The 25,570-nt window shown below is 34.3% G+C and overlaps 1 long non-coding RNA gene across 1 annotated transcript in view; it reads left to right on the top strand.

Annotated features, from left to right (window-relative positions):
• Nucleotides 1-21,785, top strand: part of LOC102723561 (uncharacterized) — a 38,265-nt gene extending 16,480 nt beyond the window's left edge. Inside the window, exons 3-4 of the long non-coding RNA XR_001742404.1 lie at nucleotides 20,660-20,795; nucleotides 20,990-21,785. This is a non-coding gene — a long non-coding RNA (uncharacterized LOC102723561). The remainder of the gene's footprint in view (nucleotides 1-20,659; nucleotides 20,796-20,989) is intronic.
• Nucleotides 21,786-25,570: the final 3,785 nt, after the last annotated feature.

Here is a 25,570-nt window from a genome sequence, read left to right as displayed (position 1 = left end):
AACACTGACTTGATTCACTGTTGAGTTCTTCTGTTGAGTCATCCTTCTCTTGTACTCCTCTGTAAGAAACTCAGAGGAGTAAACTTACAGATCAATTTTCCGGAATTACACCCCAAATAGCTGATTATTGCCAAATACCTGATGACGATTGGATGGATTTCAAATTTAGGATGAATCACATTTTGAAATTTTAACTTCATAAACCTAGACAATTATCTGACAGTTTCCTCATATGTAACTTTTCCTATTTCCCAGAAGAATGTTTCATGCCTCATGCCCAGTTATTACCTCACACCACAGTTCACAGACAAAGCATGTAGACCCAGCCTATGTGCCTCCAAACTCATATAATCAAACACATCTTCTATTACTCAGAGAAGTAGCCCTCCTCGATTTAAATCCAGACATTCCACCAACCTCTGGATTCATCCCTTCTTTCCTTTCATGGACCTCAGTTTTGCAGTCATTATCTATTTTTTTGTCCATAGTCATATACACATCCTGAATATCCCCCATTTAAATAGCAAAATAAAATACACAAAAGTACATTGAATGCACATAGATGTCTGGCTATCTCCTCATTTGGCTCGACTTTTTACAACAAAACTTAGAATAACAGCTATGAATATGTACGATTTCCATTTCCACATATTCTCTATCACAACAAATCCAACTTTGACGTCATAAACACTAAAATATCTCTTAACCAGCTCTTAAATATTTTAAAATTTTGCCAGAACCTGTAATCAGTATTTATCCTTGACTTCATAGTGGCATTGGACATAATCAACCCATTTTTCTTGAAACATGTTTCCTTTAGCTTTCATTGAGTCCCACTCATTTAGGTGGTTTTGTTGTTGTTGTTATTATTTTGGTGGAGGGTCGGGGGAGATGTTTTTGCATTTGTGGTTATTTTCTGGCTTTCCCCCATGGTCACACAGAATACTTTTTAGTCTCCTTTGATGAACCTTTTCACTCTGTCATGCTGTTAGGGTGCCACAGGGCTGAGCCCTAAGCCCTCTCCACTACTCCATCTTTACCGTCTCCTCAGATAAAATGATCCAGTCTTTGAGACTTATGAAATATTTTCTTATGACTCCCATTTCTCTCTCCAACTCCATTTCCTCCTCTAAGTTCCAGACATTTACAAATCTAACAGCTTGTTCTTTTCCACTTGTATATGTAACAACTCCCCAAACCTAAACTCTCTCCTGGCCAAGTCTTCTTCATTTCAGTTAAAGATTCTGTGTGTGCATGTGTGTTTGTGTGTGTGTAAATAAAACATATTCATATAATAAAATATAGGGGTTATTAATGTAAGCAGAAACAAAGGGAAATAATAGAACAAATCTTTTTAAAAATCATATCTTTTTAAATTGACAAAAATTGTATATATTTATTGTGTATGATGTGATGTTTTGAAATATTTGTGTATTGTGGAATGACTGAATCAAGTTATTTAACACATGCATTACCTCACATAGCTTTTTGGGGCAAAGCACTTAAAATCTACTCTCAGCAATTTTCAAGCATAAAATACATTGTTATTAACTATAGTCGCCATATTATAAAATACGTTGCTTGAATGTTTCCTTCTGTCTAACTCAAAATTTGAATCCTTGGTACTACATCCCCCCAACTAGTGCGTAAACCCAGTCCCTGGTAAATGCTATTCTACTTTCTACTTTTATGTGTTTGACATTTTGGGATTCTACATATGAGTGAGATCATGTGGTATTTTTCTTTCTGTGCCTGGATTATTTCAACTAACATAATGTTTAATGATGCAATTTGTTATTGCAAATGACAGGACTTCATTATTTTTATGGCTAAAGAATATTCCATTGCGTATATATACCACGTTTTCTTTTGTTCATCCACTGCTGGACAACTAAGTAAATTCTATAACTTGGCTATTGTGAATAATGTTGCAATAAACAAGGGAGCACAGATTTCCCTTTGATATACTTATTTCCTTTCTTTTGGGTATACATATATATATTTGGATCATATGATAGTTTTACTTTTAGGTTTTTGAAGAACCTCTATAGTGTTTTTCACTATGGTTGTAAAAGAGTTCCCTTTTCAGCCTGGCGCGGTGTCTCACGCCTGTAATCCCAGTACTTTGGGAGGCCGAGGCGGGCAGATCATGAGGTCAGGAGATAGAGACCATCCTGGCTAACACGGTGAAACCCCGTCTCTACTAAAAATACAAAAAAATTTAGTCGGGCGTGGTGGCGGGCGCCTATAGTCCCAGCTACTCGGGAGGCTGAGGCAGGAGAATGGCGTGAACCCGGGAGGGGGAGCTTGCAGTGAGCCGAGATCGTGCCACTGCACTCCAGCCTGGGCGACAGAGCGAAACTCTGTCTCAAAAAAAAAAAAAAAAAAAGAGTTCCCTTTTCTTCACATCCTCTCTTAACACTTGTTATTTTTTGTCTTTTTGATAATAGCCATTCTAAGAGGTGTGAGGTGTTACCTCATCGTGATTGTAATTGAATTTCAATCACAGGTGTGAGGTGTTACCTCATTGTGATTATAATTGAATTGTGATTGTAATTTGAATTTCCCCAATGATTAGTAATGTTGAACATTTTTTAATAAACCTGTTGGCCATTTATAAAAATCAAGTTATTTGTTTTATTCCTATTGAGTTGTCTGAATTCCCTACATATAGAATATTAACCTTATTAAATGTATGGTTTATAAATATTTTCTCCCATTTGTAGGTTGTCTCTTCATTCTGTTGACTGTTTCCTTTTCTGTGCAGAGCTTTTCAGTTTGCGAATCCCATTTGTCTACTTTGCTTTTGTTGCTGGTACCTATAGACTCAGCTCCAAAAAATTTATTACTTAAGTCAATGTCATGGAGCTTTTTTTCGTTCTATTTGCTTCTAGTAATTTTACAGTTTCAGGTCTGAAATTTAAGTCTTTAATATATTTTGATTTGATTGTTTTTCTGTGTTATAAGAGTCTAATTTTATTCTTCTGCATGTGGATATCCAGTTTTCCTAGCATCATTTATTTTCCTCTAATTTATTTATTTTAAATTAACAAATATAATTGTATATATTTATCAAGTACATGATGTTTTTCTGTGTATATACATTGTGGAATATTTAAATCTAGCTGATTAAAATATGCATTACCTCACAGTTATTATTTTTGTGGTGTGAACATTTTACATCACTCAGTATTTCTCAGCACCATTTATTGAAAAGACAATCCTTTCTCCATTGTGTGTTCCTAGAATCTTTGTCAGAAATCAATTAACTGTAAATTCATAAAATTATTTCTGGGTTCTCTATTCTGTTCCATTGGTCTATGTGTCTGATTTTTGTACCAGTACCATACTGATCTGATTACTATGGCTTTGTTTTAGATTTGAAATTAAGCAATGTGGTGCAATCACCTTTGTTCTTTTTGCTCAACATTGCTTTGGCTAGTCAGAGTTTTTTGTGGCTTCATACAAATTTTAGGATTGTTTTTTCTAGTTCTGTAAAAAACTGTCATTGGAACTTTGATAGCTATGGATTGAATACATAGATTGTTTTGGGTAGTTTTCAGTGTGCAAGTTTTTTTTTTTTTTTTTTTTTTTTACCATCTTTGTTGAATTTTTTTCCTTAAGTACTTTATTTTTCTTGATGTGGTTATAAATGAGATTGTTTAATTATTTCCTTTTCAGATTCTTTGTAGTGCATAGAAACACAGGTGATTTTTGTTTATTTTTTATTCTGCAACTTTACTGTATTTGCTTATTAGTTCTAACAGTTTTTTTGGTGGAGTCTTTAGAGTTTTCTTTTTTTTTTTTTTTTTTTTTTTTTGAGATGGAGTCTCTCTCTGTTGCCCAGGCTGGAGTGCAGTGGTGCAATCTTGGCTCACTGCAAGCTCCGCCTCCCAGGTTCATGCCATTCTCCTGCCTCAGCCTCCCAAGTAGCTGGGACTACAGGTGCCCGCCACCACGCCTAGCTAATTTTTTGTATTTTTAGTAGAGACAGGGTTTCACCGTGTTAGCCAGGATGGTCTCGATCTCCTGACCTCATGATCTGCCCACCTTGGCCTCCCAAAGTGCAGGGATTACAGGCGTGAGCCACTGCGCCCGGCCTAGAGTTTTCTATATGTAAGATCATGTGTCTGCAAGCAAGGACAGTTTAACTACTATTCCAGTTTAGATGCCTGTAGTTTTTTTCTCTTACCTAATTTCTCGGGGTTAGACTTCCCTTTCAGTGTTGACAGAAAAAGGGAAAGTGGGCATATTTGTCTTCTTCCTGATCTTAGAGGATAATGTTTCAGCTTTTCATGGTTGAATATGATGTTAGCTGTGGGCTTGGCATATATGGCGTTTATTGTGTTGACTTAAAGAAAATCTTAATTTAGATAAAAAAGCAAATGAGTAATGACAATTTAACTCTGAACAAATGGAGAGGTGAATATCTAATGTTATGTTGAAAGTTAAAAGTTAACCAAAGTTTGTTGATCATAGAGCAAGGCTTTCTGATATATACTTCACAAATAAATTTTGCCATGATAAGTACAACAAAATGCATGGAATCACGAAAGCAAATTAAGAGGTAAAAATGTTAAGCAATTTTTCTTAAAGAGCATATATACATATATTATAAAGCATTTTTACTGAGTTTTACTGTCTAACTTCATTTATTGCATCTAGAATGAACTTTTAGAAAAAGTAAACTCAAATCAATCTCATTTTTTTCACATTTATTATGCCTTAAAAATGAACACATAATCACAGAGTAATAAAGCTGGAAGAGGCATGAGACATTAAAGAGAAAATCCTTACTTTTTGGAAGAGAAAATGGTCAAGGGTGTTAATTTCATGAAAGTGGCTGGGGAAGCTTTCTGAGGGACCTACTGTGACCCTTCCTCCACTTTGCTAGCATCATTGACGGCTGGAAACCTTTATTTGCACTGTAGTTTTTCCTCCATGGAGCTTTTCTGCTGCAGTTGTGTAGCTTTGTTGGCAAAACAGATCCTTGCCAGTGTCTGTTTGTGTTTTTGGAATAGTCACATCATTCACAATTTTATGTTCACATTGCACTTTTCATGTCATAAGAGTCAAGAACCTCCATGCTCAGATGCACTCTGCACCTGTGTTGGGAGTTGGCAAGAGGCTCAACTCAGCTGAGTCACCCACCAAACACACTTTGGCACTGTCAGAATAAGGCAAAGACTGCTGCTGCCACAGACTTCTTCTGGTGGTAACTCACACCCGGTATGGAGGGTGGCAGAGGTCAATGGGCAGAGCAGCAAGGCTGGGGTCCTGTGAGGTGCAAATTCCAGGTGTCAGGATCATGAGGGAATAGCAGCTTCAAGTCCTGGACACATGACGCATTATCCCATCAGAATTTACTTAAAAATACAAATTCAGAGATATCATTAAGAATTAGGCCAGGCTTGGTGGCTCACGCCTGTAATCCCAGCACTTTGGGAGGCCAAGGCGGGCAGATCACGAGGTCAGGAGATTGAGGCCATCCTGGCCAACATGGTGAAACTCTGTCTCTACTAAAATACAAAAAATTAGCCGGGTGTGGTGGTGTGTGCCTGTAGTCTCAGCTACTTGGGAGGCTGAGGCAGGGGAATCACTTGAAGCTGGGAGGCAGAGGTTAAAATAAACCGAGATCATGCCATTGCACTCCCGCGTGGAAACAGAGCAAGACTCTGTTTCAGAAAAAAAAAAAAAAGAATTAAAAGCTTGCAATGAAGATCATTAAACTCTTAAGTGCTGGCCCTTCTAAGAGTTGGGCGCTGTGGAACTGTACTAGTCACCCATCCAAAGATTCAGCCCTGCCTAGAGATGGTGGAAAATCTCAAGAATGAGAATATATTCATCTCGCATATTGTTTAATGGAATTGGGGACAGAAAATGGTTGATTACATTTTAGCTATAAAGTAAGATTCATGCAAAATATGCATATATATAGACACTCAGTTGTTTTATAATAAAGATTATTAGTAACAACTTTTGCCGTATAGTTTAAATAGCATTAGTATTCTCTAATTCATGAATATTTAAAAAGTCAGATTGTTTGTGCTCAAGCAAACATGCAGTTTCTTCATTTTCAAAATGCATATAATACTTGAACCTAACTTATTAGGTTGTTGACAAGATTAAATAATACAGAGCAAGGCATAGACGTGGGTCAGTCATATAGAGCTCAATAAATATTAATAATTTGTTATTATTGTTACCATTACTATATTTTGGATTTATGTTTTCTATTAGTAGCACTGCAATACATTTTCTTATACCAAACATTTTTAATAATGTCTCACTCAAACAGATTTCCAGGAGATAAATGATTAGATTAATGATTGTGTTTAAGACCCTTGACAAATCAGTCAACTCATGTACTTCCAAATGGACTTCAAAATACAGTACATGTATAATTAATTACACTTCTACTTGCTGCACAGGAAACACTCTACTTTATAGATGACTAGTTTAATACTTTAACACTCCAATATTTGGAAAAGAGTGTGTGTTTGTCTGTGTGTGTGTGTGTGTGTGTGTGTGTGTGTGTGTGTGTGTGTTGCCCCTAGGTTCCAGATGAGTGAAATTCTGGGAGGCTTAGCTTCAAAATTAATAGCAGATGGCTCTAGAGGAGATACACTGGTTCTTACCAAGTGTCACTGGAATAACACAGGATGCTACACTGATGATATGAGATTGATGTAGAATTAGCTCAAGCTATTCTGAAGCAGCTAAAAGAATCAAGTATTCATGTGAAATGTACCTATAAAATCAATATAAATTTTTGACAGAGTAGTTAGCCATTTTCCATATTTGTATCAAGTAGTTTGGTAAGTGCCTTAGTCGTTGATATTCTTTTGAATATGAGGATCTATTTCAGGCATCAGACACACTTCAGTGTAATGATTTCATAATAGCAATTCCTGTTTGCTACTGATCCAACACATAGCCAAGATAACTTTATGATCACCTTCTGGAATTGCAAAATGCTCCCAATAAATATGGGATTTATGAGTAAATAATGCCTGCTAATGCATATGACTCATTTCAACACCCCTGGCAATCTCTCAGCTGGACATTCTTTTATTTCCTGCTTAAGTCAAGAGTAAATTGAAAACCACACAGCTAACATGACAATTGTGTTACCCTAAGAGATGAGTCATAACTGTGACATAATAATGAATCAAACTCTGGCATATCCTTTTGCAATAAAAGTTGCTGTCATGTGAGTAGACCAGTGGATATTTTATGTAAGATATTTCTGGCATTAAGTGGAACAATTTGGAGTAGGAAAGAGGATTTAATTTTAAAAGTTAATTTCTATAAAAAGTGCCTCTTTCAATAATTCCGATGTGTAATGATATGGAAATATTTTCTTGGTTCAAAATAAACATATAAATATTAAAGAAGTAAGTATAGGGTTTGCATTTTAGCTTTATCTGCATGTCACCTAACAAGTACATTAAATTTCTCAATTGAGAGAGATGATATGGCTCTGTCCTATTCATTATTAAAAGGTGATTTTTCAGCATACAAAAGAAATGTAGTGAAATATAAATTATTTTACACAGACCACATAGTAGAGGATGTCACTGTTTCTGAGAGTAGATTTGTATTGTTTGCTCTTATTTGATTTTCTCAAAAGAATGTAATGTTAATTATCAAACAAAATATTCTGGCTAATAAGTAAACCAAAGCAAAATAAAAAAAAGGTAATAATAAAAAGAAAAGGGGAGACATATAGATTACTTTGCAAAAGCCTTTGGCAGGCTGAGACTGGCAGAGCACTTGAGGTCAGGAGTTCAAGACCATCCTGGCCAACATGATGAAACCCCGTCTCTACCAAAAAAAATACGAAAATTAGCCAGGCATGGTGGCACACGCCTGTAGTCCCAGCTACTTGGGAGGCTGAGGCATGAGAATCGCTTGAACCCATCAGGCAAAGGTTGTGGTGAGCTGAGATGGCGCCACTGCACTCCAGCCTGGGTGACAGAGTGAGACTCCGTCTCAAAAACATAGTAAAATAAATAAAAATTACTCTGCAAAATGTTCCTAAATAAATGTTCTGTTACAAGTATTTTTCAGTGACAGAACATTTGTAGTAGTGATATATTTAAAACTGTGTTCTAATATCCTTTCTGTTGAGGATTATAAAAATAGCATTTGAAGTTAAACACTAGAAATGTTTATTTATAAAATATTTTCTTAATTAAAGAAATGTTAAAATTGGCATGTATTATGTTGGGTTCTTCTGAAATATGTTCTGAAGTTTCATGATAACAAAATAGATTTTTTTCTATCTGAAAATATTGAGATATGTTTCTCCCCCAAGTAGGTATGTTAAACTGTACACATTTGTAAGACTTTGGTTGCGTTGCAAGCAGATATCTTTCAAGAGACAGCTAATAATATCTGAAAGATGTTCTTTAAATCTCTAAACTAACTGTGCTGTTTGGGTCCATTTTCTATTTCAAAATTTTATTGATGATTCTGTTTCTTAAAAAATAACTTGTAATCAAATTATTCATTTTTTTAACAGTTTTCCCTTTTAATGTTACTCATAAGTTCATAGTTCCAAGTATTATATCCTATATATTAAAAATTTTAGTACATTGTATTAAAAAGTCTTGGTAGCATTGCCACATCCATCCCTCATAAAGAAGGACATCAAAATTTCAAAACATGCAGGCAATGGTACTAAAATGTTGCCTGAGCCATTATCTACAATTACTTATGTAAGACTTTATAAAAGTGAACATTCATTTAAAAATGGAATAGCATCATTTTGCATTGTGTCTTAAGTTTTGTGAAAAAGTATATTTTCCATGCTTATAAGGATTATCCGAGAGAAGTTTCCTTTATGCAGCCTTTCTCATGCTTCTTTCCTTAATTCCTAATTATATAACCATCTATATATTTCATTGACTTACATTGAAATGTTAGCTGTCCTGATATGTCTCAGCCTAATATCTAAAATTATGGTCAACTATCTTGATACTAATATGACATAACCCTTGACAATTCTGACTTTTAAAAAAATAGAGAAAAAAATTAAACTATGAAGACACTAGTTGTGAGGAGAACATCACATAGGATTTAATAAATAATATTATATAGTATAAAATCACTTTTAATACTTTTCTAAGAAAGACTTTGTGATTAGTACATAGCTATAAATCCAAGATATTTTCTGATTAACAGGCAAGATATAGAAGTGGCTTGATCTTTTGTCCTTTATGCATTATATAAAAAATTGGAGAAACATATTATTACAACAATTTTAATGTTATGTTCATTGCAGAAGTAAACTAACTACAGATTTCATAATGCTAAATTTGTTACTTGGTAAAGTAAGAATCATAATAGCCAGCCATCAGTTTATCTTTTGTGAATGACATTATATCTAGACACTACAATTTCCTAATCGATCATACAGTTTATGTAATGTTTATACTAATTAGTTAACTGATACACAAAATCAAAATGGTTATAAAATCCAATATAAAATTGACTGGAAATGCACACCTAGATATAAAGATTAATAGTAGTCTAAGTTTTAGTACTTACCTTTAATGTAAGATAAACACACTTTCTCTAGTCTAATTCTCCATGGCTATACTAATTTTTTCTTTTTGTCTGTGAGGTTACCAATTTCTACATGTAATATTAGAGGATTTTTAAGGTGTTGTTGAGAGAAGGGTATATAATTCACCAATTAAGTGTCATTTTCGTTAAAAGGACACTAAAACCTAGACATTGTCCTTCACAGGGTAAGCTAATTCTAGAGGCAGTAGATGGACCACTATTTCTAATTTCACGAATGTAGCATAGTAATTGGGAATTATATTTTTTAAAAAATAATTATTTTTAATTGATAAATTACAGATTACGTATCTTTGGTATACAATGTGATGTTTTGATTTATATGCATACAAACATAGGAACATAAACATAGTGGGATGATTAAATCAAACTAATAATCATATTCATGACCTCACATATTTATCATTTTTTAATGAGAACATTTCAAATCTACTCTGAGCAATTTTAAGTATATTATACATTACCAATTATGATCACTATACTGTACAATGTATCTCCAGTACTTATTTCTCCTATCTAACTGAATGAAACTTTTTACCCTTCAACTAATCTCTCACACTCTGTAATTAAAGAAATGCTGCTTTTAACTTCAGATTGTGAGAAGCAAAATTCTGCCTCTACCACTTAATAGCATTGCAACATAGGGAAAAAAAAATGTGGTTAATGTGACTAGTTAAATATTTTTGTTAGTTATTAAATGGAAAAATAAAATGTACCCCCAGTTATTGTTTAGTGGGGAAAAATGATAAAAATAGTTTAAATTTTTGGTACATATTAAATAATAAATAAGAGCTAATCATCATCAATTATTTGAGAATTTACAGAAACTTATTTTGATAAATTAACCTGTAAAAATGCCATGATTATGATTATCATTGGTGTGTATATATAGAGAGATACATCTATCTATCTATCCAAACACACCCCTCCCACACTGCTACATATAAATCTATATATTTAATGGATACACAACTTCCAAATAAATCCAGAGATTAAAAAGGAGACTTTATAACTGATACTGCAGAAATTCAAAGAATCATTGGTGGCTACTATTAGCAACTATATGCCAATAAATTGAACAATCTAGAATAAATGAATACCTAGATAAATACCACCTACCAAGATTGAACCAGAAAGAAATAAAAAAACTGAACAGACCAATAAAATGTAATGAGATCAAAGCCATAATAAAGTCTCCCAATAAAGAAAAGACCAGGACTTGATGGCTTCACTGCTGAATTCTACCAAACACTTAAAGAACTAATACCAATCCTCCTCAAACTATTCCAAAAAACAGAGGAGGAGGAAATATTTAAAAAGTCATTATGCAAGGCCAGTATTACACTGATACCTAAACCAAAGACATCACAAAGAAAGAAAACTACAGGCTAATATCTCTGATGGATATTGAATCAATAATCTCCAATAAAATACTAGCAAACCAAATTCAACAATATGTTAGAAAGATCTTTCATTATGACCAAGTGGGATTTATCCCTGGGATGCAAGGATGGTTCAATACATGCAAATCAATCAGTTCAATACATCATATCAATAGAATGAAGGATAGAAACCATATGACCATTTCAATCGATGCTGAAAAAGCATTTGATAAAGTTCAACATCGCTTCACAATAAAAAGTCTCAAAACTGGGATAGAAGGAATATTCCTCAATGTAAAAGAGCCACATATTCAGACCCACGGCTAGTATCAAACTGAATGAAGAAGAACTGAAAGCCTTTCCTCTAAGATCTGGAACATGACAAGGATGCCCACTTTCAACACTGTTATTCAACATAGTCCTAGAATTCCAAGCTAGAGCATCAGACAAGATAAAGATATAAAGGGCATCAAAATTGGAAAGGAAGAAGACAAATTATTATAGTTTACAGGCGATATATAGTCTTATACTTGAAAAAACCTAAAGACGCCACAAGAAAACTATGATAACTGATTAACAAGTCCAGTAAAGTTTCAGGATACAAAAATGAGTAACATTATGCCAACAGTGAACAATGTGAAAAGGAAATAACAAAGTAATCCCATTTACAATAGCAATGCATAAAATTAAATACCTAGGAATTAACCAAAGAAGTAAAAGATCTCTATAATAAAAACTATAAAACAATGAAGAAAAAAATTGAAGAGGATACCAAAAATGGAAAAATATTCCCTGTTCATTGATCAGAAGATTCAGTATTGTTAAAAGTCCGTACTACACAAAGCAATCTACAGAGTCAATTCAATTGCTATCAATATACCAGTGAAATTCTTTATAGAAATAGAGAAAACAATTCTCTAATTATAAACAAAAGACCCAGAATAGCTAAAGCTCTCCTAAGAAAAAAAAAACAAAAGAGAAATCACATAACCTGACTTCAAATTAGACTACAGAGATATAGTAATCAAAACATCATGGTACTGGCATAAAAATAGACATGTGGACAAATGGAAAAGAACAGAGAACTCAGAAAAAAATTCAGACACCACAAGATGCCAAGAATATACACTGGGGGAAAGACTGTCTCTTTAATAAATGGTGCTGGGAAAACTGGATATTCATATGCAGAAGAATGAAACCAGACCCCTGTATCTAGTCACATACAAAAATCAAATCAAAATGGATTAAAGACTTAAATCCAAGACCCAAAACTATGAAACTTCTATAAGAAAACATTGGGGAAAGTCTTCTGGACATTTGTCTTGGCAAAGATTTCTTGAAAAATACCATACAAGCACAGGTAACCAAAACCAGTGTGGACAGATTGGTTCACATCAAGTTAAAAAGCATCTGCAGAGCAAAGGATGCAATCAACAGAGTGAAGAGACAACCCACAGAATGGGAGAAAATTATTTGCAAACTACCCCTCTGACAAGGGATTACTAACCAGAATATGTAAGGAGCTCAAACAACTCTATAGAGAAAAAAAAATCTAATAATTTGAATAAAAAATGGGCAAAAGATATGAATAGACATTTCTCAAAATAAGACATACTAATGGCAAACGGACATATGAAAAGATGGTTAATATCATTGAATGTCAGAGAAATGAAAATCAAAAAACTTCAATAAGATATCATTTTACCCCCAGTTAAAATGACTTATATCCAAAGACAGGCAATAACAAATGCTGTTGAGGATGTTGAGAAAAGGGATTCCTCATACACTATTGGTGAGAATGTAAATTAGCACAACCACTATGGACAACAGTTTGGAGATTACTCAAAAAACTAAAAACTGAGTCACTGTATGATCCAACAATCTAACTGTAGGGTATATACCCAGAAGAAAGGAAATCAGTACATGAAAAAATATCTCTGCTCCTATGTTTGTTGCAGCACTGTTTGCAATAACTAAGATTTGGAAGCGACCTATGTGACCATCAACAGATTACTGGATAAAGAAAATGTGGTATATATACACCATGGAGTACTATCCAGCCACAAAAATCAAAAGGATCCAGTCATTTGCAACAACATGCATGGAATTGGACGTCATTACTTTAAGTGAAGTAATCCAGGCACAGAAAGACAAACATTGCATGTTCTCACTTACTTGTGGGATCTAAAAGTCAAAACAATTGAACTCATGAACATAGAGAGTAGAAGGATGGTTACTAGAGGCTGGGAAGGGTAGTGCGGGGCTGAGGGGAGGTGGTGATGGTTAATGGGTACAAAAAGAAATAGAAAGAATGAATAAGACCCCTATTAGATAACATAATAAGATGACTATAGTCAATTTTAAAATAACTTAAAGAGTGTAATTGGATTCTTTGTAATCCAAAGGCAAATGCTTGAGGGGATGGATACCCCATTCTTCATGACGTACTTATTTGACCTAACATGCCTGTATCAAAACATCTCATATACCCCGTAAATATATATACTTACACATAAAATTACATATATGTACACATAAAAATTAAAAATAAAAAAGAATCAAAAAAATTTGGAGATATACTCGTATCCCAAAATGTTAGATAAAACTGATGTTATTATTTTCAATTAATACAATTTATGCACAGACAGGCAGGCAGTTATATAACAAATCTGCTAACTGGGTTTTGCTCAGAATGAAATGTCTAAAACAAAGTGGGACATGAATAATCATCAATGGCAGGAATAATCAGGTTTTTTATTCCTAAAGAATTTTCTCTCATGCTAATCTCTACCCCACCACCATATATGCAATTTCTGCTTACAAATGTGAACTTCAGAAAATTTTTATTTTTGTAAAACTCATGTTTACGTCTTATTTTTTATAACACTGTATTAATATCATAAAGGTGCAATCTAGGTGGTTTCGTACTTGAAAATTAGTTACAGAGCATCTTGTTAGAATGCAAAGAATGAGTGTTCTAAAAGCAGTGGTTCTGTTACTGGCAGAGCATCCATATGGGTCTGCAAAAACCTCAATTCTTGCCTACTCAGGAGAAAGAATTTGACCAAGGAGGCATGAGGCAGAAGGAGAGACTGAGGCAAGTTTTAGAGCAGGAATGAAAGAAAGTAAAGTACACTTGGAAGAGGGCCAAGCGGTGACTTGAGAGATCAAGTGCTTAGTTTCACATTTGACTTGGGGTTTTATATATTGGCTCACTTCCCATGTCTTGCATCCTTTCTCCCCTGATTCTTCCCTTGGGGTAGGCTGTCCTCATGCACAGTGGCCTGGTAGCACTTGGGAGGGGAGCATGCACAGTGTGTTTACTGGAGTTGTACACGTGCTCACTTGAGGCATTCTTCCCTTACCAGTCTAGCATTCCTAGAGGAAGGTCAGATACCGGTTAAACTACACAATTTTGCCTCTTAATGCACATGCTTGAGCCCATTTGCCCAGTTCCTGAGATCTTATTGGGAAGCTGCTAATCACCAGTTTCAGTTCTATCTATTAGGAGACAGGCCATCTATGATTAACTAGTATTTTAAAGAGACAGTTAACAACCACCTGGCCCTCACCTGATGGTCACCTGACATTCCTAGTGTGTGTGTTGAGCGGGGGGAGGAGCCCTCTTCTGTGCTGCTCATGCCTGACTAGCTACCTACTGTAAATAACAGTTCTAGGCACAAACTTTGGCTCTGAGACTTACTAGTTATTTGGCATTGAACAAATAAATTAACACCTCCAGAGACAACTGTAAATTGGAATGGCACATTTGTCCAGACCATGGCAGAGAAAAGGTAAAGGGTAATTTGGGGTGGGACTATGGCATTAACCAACGTATGGAAGTGAATATTCAATGCCAGGCTTGGCAAAATATGAACAAATACTGTGGCAGAAAGTGGTTCCAGAAGAAAGACATTTGAATCTTGTCCTGTAGATACTAGTGGTGCTTTAAAATTTATTAAGCAAGACATGAATAAAGCAATGGAACATTAATTTTGTAGAGATGCACAAAGTAATTTGAAGCTGAATATAATAAAACCAGTAATGGCATCTAGAAAAAACAGTTGCATTGAACATATGTGTTTACCTCCATCCTCCTCCAAGACTCAGTCAAATAATAATAAACTTATAAAATAAGAAAACATAAACAAAGAATTACAAAAACCCATAGGAAAACAGGAACAAAATCAGTAAATCTGGAAAGGGAATAGGCAAAAGGTAGTAGAAAATTCATAAAAGGTAAGCCTTCCTGGAATAATCATGGAAGAATCCTGATTTGTGTAAATTAATTCCAAAATGATGCACAAATTAAAAGAAGCAGTCATCACAGAGTTGATGGAAAAGTGAAGCAGACAAGTATTATTTGGAAGTCTGCTTAACAGGCAGACAAAATTTTCTATCAATATTGACAGAAAGAAAATTATCCCTCCAAAGCAAGAGAAAATATTAGAGCCTGTTCCTTGCAGTCAGTAAAACATGAGAAATATGAAAATGGGAAAACTTTGCACAGATGTGAGTGGGGTACCTTACACAAATAGGCATAGTCAGAGAAGTCTATCAACCGAATGGTGAGAGCTACCCTAATCTCAGTTCTATTCCCTCAGCAGGCTTTGAAAAAATCATTGAGGATTATACAGTCCTTTCAATCAGAATATTAAAAACTTCCTTTGTAGAAAGCCCAACCTGTGGGATAAAGGAAGAAAGAAAAGAATAAAAGATGAAAAAAAAGGAAAGGAAGGAAGAAAACTTGAGAATTTGCAATACCCTAGTGACACAGCCTAATCAAATACCCAATAAAACTCTCTGCTCTTCAAGCCATGTTATGCACACAGAGTTCTTCGATTAGTGTGCAGCCAAAGAGCAGAAAACATTTGTAAAACAAAACAAAATAAAATAAAATGTCAATTAAAAGGTAAAGATATACAACCAAACAGACAGGAAAATCAAACCAAGGCTGTAAGGACAGTCTGTCAAACAAGAGATGACCTCAACACATGTATACACCATCCATACTACGCAGCCTCTAAGAGTGATCCCTGTCCCTAGCCTTCGTGACTGTTTTAATCTGTTTTTATACTGCTCTAAAGACTGGGTAATTTATAAAGAAAACAGATTTAATTGAATCACCACTCTATGGCTGGGAAGGCCTCAGGAAACTTACAATCATGGCAGAGGGTGAAGGGGAATCAAGGAGAAGTGCCCAGCGAAGGGGGAAGGGCCCCTTATAAAACCATCAGATCTCCTGAGAACTCACTATCAGGAGACCAGCATAGGGGAACCTCTCCACGATTCAATTACCTCTACCTGGTCTTTCCCTTGACACATGAGGATTATGGGTATTATGGAGATTATGGGGATTACAATTCAAGATGAGATTTAGTGGAGACACAAAGCCTAACCATATTAATGACCTTGCATACATCTCTTTCTTTGAATAACTTGCTACCAAAATCAGTATAGGAGGCTTGCAGCCTGTGCACGTGGGGTGAGTGGGGAGAAAGGAAGGATTCACTTCCTTCCCTCTTGGGCTAGGAAGGCGTCACCAGGAAAGCACCCACAGCAGGTAGGGGCAACCTCAGGGCTCCCAAGGACCAGAGATCCCACAGGACGATCCTGCCATTGCAAGAGGCTACCGACTGAGGCCCCTTTCATGCCTCCCCGACCGCAAATATTCCCCCTACAAGGCCCGTCCCAAACAATTCCTGCTGTGCACATTGATGTTCTCATGCCTTGTAGCATGTCGAGCTCTGTCTCGTCTTGCACGTGGGGACTTAGCATTTAATCACCCTTAAAAACCCATCCAAGACCTGTCCCCATTAAATGATGCTGCCACACTGCAGCGACCCGAAGAGGAGGCCTCCATCTCTGACCCACCCACTACCTACCACAGAAACTCCACAGTGGCTTCCCAGCCTAGGCGTTATCCTGAGATGCCACTCAGTGAATCTGACACACGTGGGGGCGACCCTTCGAGGCCTCCCTCCAACATCCCACCCACCCTCCAGGGGAGACCAGGCCTCCCACTCAGATGGTGGCTCCCAGCTACCACAAAAGTAAAGTAAAATAAGTATTTTTAAAATGTCACTTCTGTGATTAGGTATTTATCATCTTGCTATTGGACTCTCTCTATTGCCCAGATTCTTGACCCACAAAAACTGTGAGGTAAGAAATGTAACAAATATGTGTTATTTAAAATGACAAGTTTGGGGTGTGTTTTGTTGTGCCCCATTAGTTAACATGCACACACAAACAGACATACATGCACACACATATACACATACATGCTGATAAAATACAATACGTGCTTTCAGAAATTTCTTAAAATCCAAACAAAGAAGAGAGAAAAAAAGATAGAAAAGGGTATACTATCTCTTATTTCTTTGAACGTTCTACATTCTGGTATGAATATTTTATTATTTGATTATATATAAATAAATATACACATGCATACATACTCACATATTTATATATAGGTAAACATACACACGTATATATATTATATATAAAATACATATACCCATTATAAATATGTATTATATATAATATATATAAAATATAAAATATATATAATATATATAATATATACTCATTATAAATATATATTTATATATGTAAATTATATATATTTGTGTATAAATATATTATATATTTTTATATATTTGTATATAAATATATATTATATATTTTTATATATTTATATATTATATATTATAATATATATTATAGATTATATTATATATTATAATACGTATTATAATACATATTATATATTATAATATGTATTATAATATATATTATATATTATAATATATAATATATATTATAATATATAATATTATATATTATAATATTATATATTATAATATATAATATTATATATTATAATATATATTATATATTATATATTATATATTATATTATATATTATATTATATATATTGTATTATATATTATATTATATTATATATATTATATTATATATTATAATATACATTATATATTGTAATATATATCATATATTATATTATATTATATTGTATTATATACATTATATATTATAATATATATTATATATTTTATATTATATTATATTATATAAAATATATTTTATATTATATTATAATATAAAATATATTTTATATTATAAATATTATAATATATTATCATATATTTATATATTATAAATATTATAATATTTATAATATTTATAATATATTTATATATTATATATTATAAATAATATTTATATTTATATATTATATTATATATTAATATCTAAATATACATATTATATATTATACATGTATATATTATATATACATATTTACATATAAATATATATTATATATCTAATATATTAATATAATTATATATATAATATATAATATATATAATTATATTATATATTAGATATATAATTTATATATTATATATAAATAAAATATATATTATATATAAATTATATATAATATATTTATATATTTTTATATATTTATAAAAATACATATAACATATATATCATTATAAATATATATGTTGTATATATATATAATGGGTGTGTGCGTATATATGTATATATACATACGTATATGTATATATGTGTGTATATACATATACATACATACGTATATATGTGTATATAGACATATATACACATATATACGTATATATACATACATATACGTATATATACATACATATAAGTATATACGTATATATACGTATATATATGTATACGTACATACGTACGTACGTATACATATATACATATCGTATATACATGTATTAGGTCATTCTCATGCAGCTATGAGGAAATACCCCAAACTGGGTAATTTTTAAAGAAAACAGGTTTAATTGACTCACAGTTCTATATAGTTGCGGAGACCTCAGGAAACTTACAATCAGTCTTCACAGGGTGGCAGGAGAGAGAATGAATGCCAGCAGGGGAAATGCCAGATGCTAATAAAACTATCAGATCTGAATCTCGTGATAACTCACTCACTATCATCAGAACAGCATGGGGGAAACGGCCCCCATGATTCAATTCCCTACAGGATCCCTCCCACAACACATGGGGATTATAAGGATTACAACTCATGATGAAATTTAGGTGGGGACACAGCCAAAACATATCAACCCATATGTAGAGAGAAACATATAGAGAAATATTTTTTGTCAATGTTATATTTTTAGGGAGTGTCTTCTAATTTCTTTCAACTAATCTTCTTCTTTTTTTTTTTTTTTTTTTTTGAGACAAAGTCTTGCTCTGTCACCCAGGCTGGAGTGCAGTGGTGCAATCGTGGCTCACTGCAACCTCTGCCTCCTGGGTTCAAGTGATTCTCATGCCTCAGCCTCCCAAATATCTGGGATTAGAAGCATGTGTCACCTTTCTCAGCTAATGCTTTGTATTTTTAGTAGAGACGGGGTTTCTCTGTGTTGGTCACAAACTCCTGGCATCAAGTGATCCACTTGCCTTGGCCTCCCAAAGTGCTGGGATTACAGGCCTGAGCCACCACAGCTGGCCGTCTTCCTACCAATCTTCTATTAAAGATTTTATCTGTGAATTTCTCCAGTCTTTTATGTCCCTGTCTTTGCCTCTGCCGTTGCATCATGATCAATTATTAGATATTTAATATGATAGAATAATCATTGGGAATAATTTCATTCCAATTCTAAAATCAATATCAATCAATGACAAGTATGTTTATACCTCCTATTAACTCAAAAAAGTACCTTCCCTCATTGGGACAACGCCATGGGGGTGGTGAGCAAATACAGGTGATGTATACAAAGAAGATGGCAAAATACATCCTCAGAAGCTAAAGCGTATCCTCATATTGGGGCTGTATGTGTTGAACTCCAGCAAACCATAAGATAGAATACTTTTTAATGTATCTTGGTTTTCCAGTACTTTATTTGGGATGAGTTTGATCCATGGAAATAGATTATTTCAGCATGTCTTACATTTTGGGTATCATTGAAAAATTTGTACAGTTTTATGATAAGCATATCCTAAATTTTTCTCACATTTTACTGATTAATTTCTACTCACCTTTCAGTACTTAAGTCAAATTGTACATCCACCAAAGTTCTTTTACTAATCTTTAGTAAAGACTTGGAATCACTGGCTGGGTTGCTAATTATTTTTCTTGTATTCTTTCTCTGCATATCTTAGAATTATAAACAGTTAAGTTTGGTACTTGGCCAATTGCAATGTTCTGCTAGTTTCCCATGAAAGTGATTCTGGTGTCCTTAGCTGGGTTAATAACACCTTTTCATAATGTTACTAAATATCCAGAACAATAATCTATCATTCACGTAACACACAATATTCCAGGACATCTAAGGCCTTGGAGCTGGTGTTGGTTCAGCCACCCCAAATGTTGTTACTGAATGACGAGAGGTGAATGCAGTTAAGGTATTTTGAAAACACAATGTTGTATCCCATGAGAGATGATTAGTTGGGAATATATTCTGCCAATAGATTCAGTTCTGTCTGAGTATGTCATAAAGTTTCTCATGACTGTCTTTCTTGAATATTAGGTGTAAATAATGAGATATTTGGCCAGCATTTTATGACAATATTCACCTACTCAGATCCTACTGTGATTCTGTAGGTGCCTGATTTTGTAGTGTTCAAACCCCATTTTTTACCTAGAGTAGTCAAAACAGCTTTGTTGTTGCAGCCACATCAAGCAAGCAGCAGCGACGTGTTTCTCTTCAACACGGATAATTGCCTTAACAATACGTCATCCTGGTTCACAACAACGCAGTAGATATGCTGACCACTGACAGTAACAAAATGACCTGCATGGTTCAAAGGTAGAAATTTCAAGTCTGTAAAAGAATGCATATAATAAGCATAATAACCAAAAAATAACTCAATCAACATCAAACAGCTATTATTTACAATGGTGATTAAATGATGTTTGGTGCCATCTTTTTACTAAATCACATATATAGGTACCTTGAAAAATCCTTTTAAACTGATTTATATAAAATTAATCTTCTTATAGGAAATCAAACCTGTGAGCTTTCCCAGCAGCAGCTATGCCATGGTATCACATCTGAAAGTAGCAGTGAAGTGTATTATTCTCCTGTCGTAAGATTGTATTATGAGAGAGAAAAAAAAAAGGTATTTTCTCAACCAAAATTTCTCATTAATATGGGTCATCAACTGCTACAATTTCTCCATGTTCTTCCCATTTATTACCTATCTTAAGCCAGAATCAGTACCCAAATGAGAGCCTCTTTTTTGAGTAGCAGGATTGGAACTGCTGTTTCTTGCTATATTTTCTATCCTCAATATGGAGACAAAGGAAGACAAGGCTGCTTCTGTGACTAAAAATCACTACTTACCATGATTTAGCCAATAAGATGGGATTACTCTCTGACTCATTTTACTTTAGAAAATTCACAAAGTTCATAGGCACTGAGAAAGTACTCTGCACACCAGTGCTTATTCTGCCAAGCACAAAATGAGCAGTCCTAGACCACTCTATTTCCATATAATGGAATAATGTGCCTGTTGGGAAAAACAGGGAACTGGAAGATTCCATCATCCTCCACGCCTTCATTCCTAGCACTACATCCCCACAATTTTTCCAAAGATATCCTCTTTTCCACCCTCACATTTAGATGAAGAACAAATTCACCCATTTACACTAACCAACACTTCTCACCCATATTACGTTTTTATTTCTATTAACAGATATTTGTTTTTTAACCCCAATTCTCAAAGAAATGCCTTTTAGACCATAAAGAATAGCATTCATCCGATGGGCGGGGTGGCTCACACCTGTAATCCCAGCACTTTGGGAGGCCAAGGCGGGTGGATCATGAGGTCAGGAGATCGAGACCATCCTGGCTAACACGGTGAAACCCTGTCTCTACTAAAAATACAAAAAATTAGCCGGGTGTGGTGGTGGGCGTCTGTAGTCCCAGCTACTTGGGAGGCTGAGGCAGGAGAATGGTGTGAACCTGGGAGGCGGTGGAGCTTGCAGTGAGCCAAGACCGCACCACTGCACTCCAGCCTGGGCAACAGTGCAAGACTCCGTCTCAAAAAAAAAAAAAAAAAAGGATAGCATGCATCTGCTTGATGTAATTCTTTTTAGAACATTTTGGATTGCTGGCAGGAAGGAAATGCATTCTTTGTTCTGTTAATATATAACTGGGGAGAACAAATTGATGCAAAATACTTTATTCTATACTTTTAATAACATTCTCTGCTGCTGATTCAGGTAAGCAGTAAACAGAGCCCAAAACGGATTGCATAAGTACTACAGTGACAATCCATTTGAAGCCACCTGGATTTCTTTATAAAGCTCCTGTAGAGTACCACTCCCTGCTAAGTGTGAGAATTTCTCAGGAAATCTTACTCAAATTCAATTTCCTGTTAACAGTCTATATGGTCTTTTATTACATTAGCAGCATTAGTAGAGGCTAGAGGTATACAGCCTTTCCTGTCCAATGTTGCATAACCTGAACATATCTGTGCCTGCTCATTTCAAGTAGCTACCTCCAGGGCCTAAGCAAGGGCATCAGTCTTCACATTCCTGCCACTTTCTGAGCAGTAACTATTCATTATCCACATAACTTACTTTAATTCTTCCTTGAAATTTCCACTTGGAATTTTACAATTGTATTAACAATATAAGGATACCCTTGGAATCCAATCATCCAAGACAGGGCTGGCAAACTCTATAATAAATAATTATTTTATTTTGTAAGATTTTCTTGACGCATTAAAATCCAAGAGTATTAAAATACTTTTGATAACTCCATCAAGAAATGGTCTTCTTTTAAAGTACAGTGAAGACTGGAGTCATTTTTAGCCCCATATATAGCAGCTATGGATCATCTACTGACCTTGTAAAGGAGATGGTATCAGCATCTGTCCTTATGCCTTAATATAGAACAAAGCTATTGATGATGGTCCAAGAGTTCATGTATATCCAAATATTATCCATCTCTTTACCCAAATGAACTTCTTCAACTGATGTTTTATCATCTGCAGAAAGAATGGCTGCATTATTACATACTGCTTTCTTCCCTTAATTTGAGACGCTCATTCATGAATTGGGTTGTGTAGGGGAGGAAAAAATAATTTCCCCTTTATTTTTCTGAATTTATAGTTGAGACCCCTATAACAAAAGGCTGATTAACAAGAGAAAAAAAAATGACAGAAGTTAACATGTTATAACCCATGTATACATGGAACATACCCAGGCAAACATGAGTAAATATTAAAGAGGTGGCTTAAAATGCTGACTTATGTAGCATCATTAACAAAAAACAACATATTGTTATAGAAGCAGCAAGACACAGAAAAAGGACCTTGAATATCTAGTGAGAAGGCAAATAAATGGCAAACTGAAGGTACGTAAAAGCTAGTAAGTAAAGTTTGTGAAATAGATTCATCTGGTGGTGTCTCCAGGCTGATAAAAGTTGAAAGCTTTCTATGATGATCAACTTTTGTCCTTTCTCATTAAAAGGAGGAGTAAATTTGTATCCTGTGTAAATTTATGTCCTGCTTTTAGGCAAGTGGGTGAGGGCACAGAGCTTTTCTTCTATCTGTTTCTTATCAGTTGCCTTCAGCTCAAAAGAATTCTTACGCCAAAGTGGCATATTTTGGATGGCATTATGTGACCCTTTGGGCACCTGCTCTGCTTTAACTCTGAGGCTCAGACTATTCCTTATTAAAAGCTACTAGTTTTTCCAGAAGTTTTATCATTTTTCCCAGAAACAGGATGGCAAATTTTTCATGAGTACACTATAGTCTTCCAGAACTACAGCCTGTCGCCTGTTTTGGCATATGCCATTTCCACTTCATGAATGAATTCTGACCAGCTACTTAACATATCAAAATAAATATTTCTAATGTTACTACAATACTTAATAATACTTACTTAAGGTATACTAGGTACCTTAAGTCTAAAAATTATTTGATATTTCTCAATATTTGCAGCTGTCTCCTCTAAAACCTCATGAAAAGCCACTAAATTTTTTTGAGAAAAGTGTATCTTGCTCCAGTGTTAGGTAGCTTGTTCAAAATCCTAGTATTTGCTGCTACTTGGAGAGACTCAAGATTGCACATATCTATATGCCCGACCTTTCCCCTGTATTGTGTGCTTTAATATGCATTCATATGGCCCCAAACAGTACTACATGTGATATACTATGCTGTAAGATTCCAAAGATAGTTTTAATTCCATATTCTATTTAAATTCATTTCAGGGAATTGGGTTACAAGAGGGTTATCTTATGAATTGGGCCTAGCAGAAAGTACAGATATAGATATTATAGTAGAATTATAGTATATTATACATTTTTATTATTAGTTTGGTTTATTTCTGTATGTGATATGACTTTCATGGCCCCAAGATATATTATATTAGTGAATTATCCGGTGGATACCAATATTGTAGCCAATTTAATTAATCTAGGCTATGATATGTACTATTACACTTCTCCAACATTTCTTAGCCTTTCTCTCTCAAATGGAAATTTTCATAATCTCTTCATTATAATAAATTAATTCCTTTTTGTGGTGGAGAACTCAGGTATCTTTAGGAAAGGAAATATGATTATATCATCACCTACCATTCTATTTATCTAACTTTACTGTCATGAGCATTAGTTATGTTTAGACAGATTGCCTGTTAGGCTTCCTGAAGAGTATTCACCATCTTTGGCATGAACTGCTTTACAATAAACTTTCAGTTTCTACAGGCAAGTCACTGTTTTCACATCTAAGAGAAGAATGTTATAAAATTAGTGAGACTTCTGATTATATCAATTATAGTTAAATATAAACTTTCAAGTTTTTCTTTTTTATAAGATGAATACACGGGCAGGATTTGTCAATTACAAAGATTTCCATTTAGCATGAGTAATTAAGAAGCAAAAGGTAGACTTGCCTGACATTCAGCTATGTACTTACAATCTATTCACACATCAAATACATCTAATTAAGAAATCAGATACAAATTATGCCACCAGAGGGTTGTTCCTTCTTTCTTTCTCTTTCCTTCCTTCCTTTCTTTTCTTTTTCTTTCTTTTCTCTTTCTTTCTTTTTCTTTCTTTCTTTTCTTCTCCTTCCTTCCTTCCTCTCTTTCTCTCTTTTTTTGTCTTGCTTGCTTGCTTGCTTTCCAATCTAAATTATCACCTTAACTCTAATTATTTTTTATCAGGGCATCACTGGTCACTCCAGGTTTTACATTTAGTCTTCTAAAATTTTCTCTTGTTCGCAGACATATCACAGTATATGATCATCACATACAAACATTCCAAAATTTAAATTTGAATATGTATTTTGTAGTCTGTTCTCATGTGCTGATAAAGACGTACCCAATTTACACAAGAAAGAGGTATAATGGACTTACAATTACACATGGCTGGGGAGGCCTCACAATCATTTCAGAAGCAAGGAGGAGCAAGTCACGTCTTACATGGATGGCGGCAGGCAAAGAAAGATAACTTGTGCAGGGGAACTCCTTTTTTTTAAAACCATCAGATCTTGTGAGACTTATTCACTATCACTAGACCAGCATGGGAAAGACCTGCCCCCATGATTCAATTACGTCCCACCAGGTCTC

The sequence above is a fragment of the Homo sapiens genome, chromosome 5, assembly GCF_000001405.40.
Source record: "Homo sapiens chromosome 5, GRCh38.p14 Primary Assembly".
NCBI lineage: Eukaryota > Metazoa > Chordata > Mammalia > Primates > Hominidae > Homo > Homo sapiens.
The sequence above is the reverse complement of the archived record's forward strand: the minus strand, read 5'-3'. Positions and strand labels throughout refer to the sequence as shown.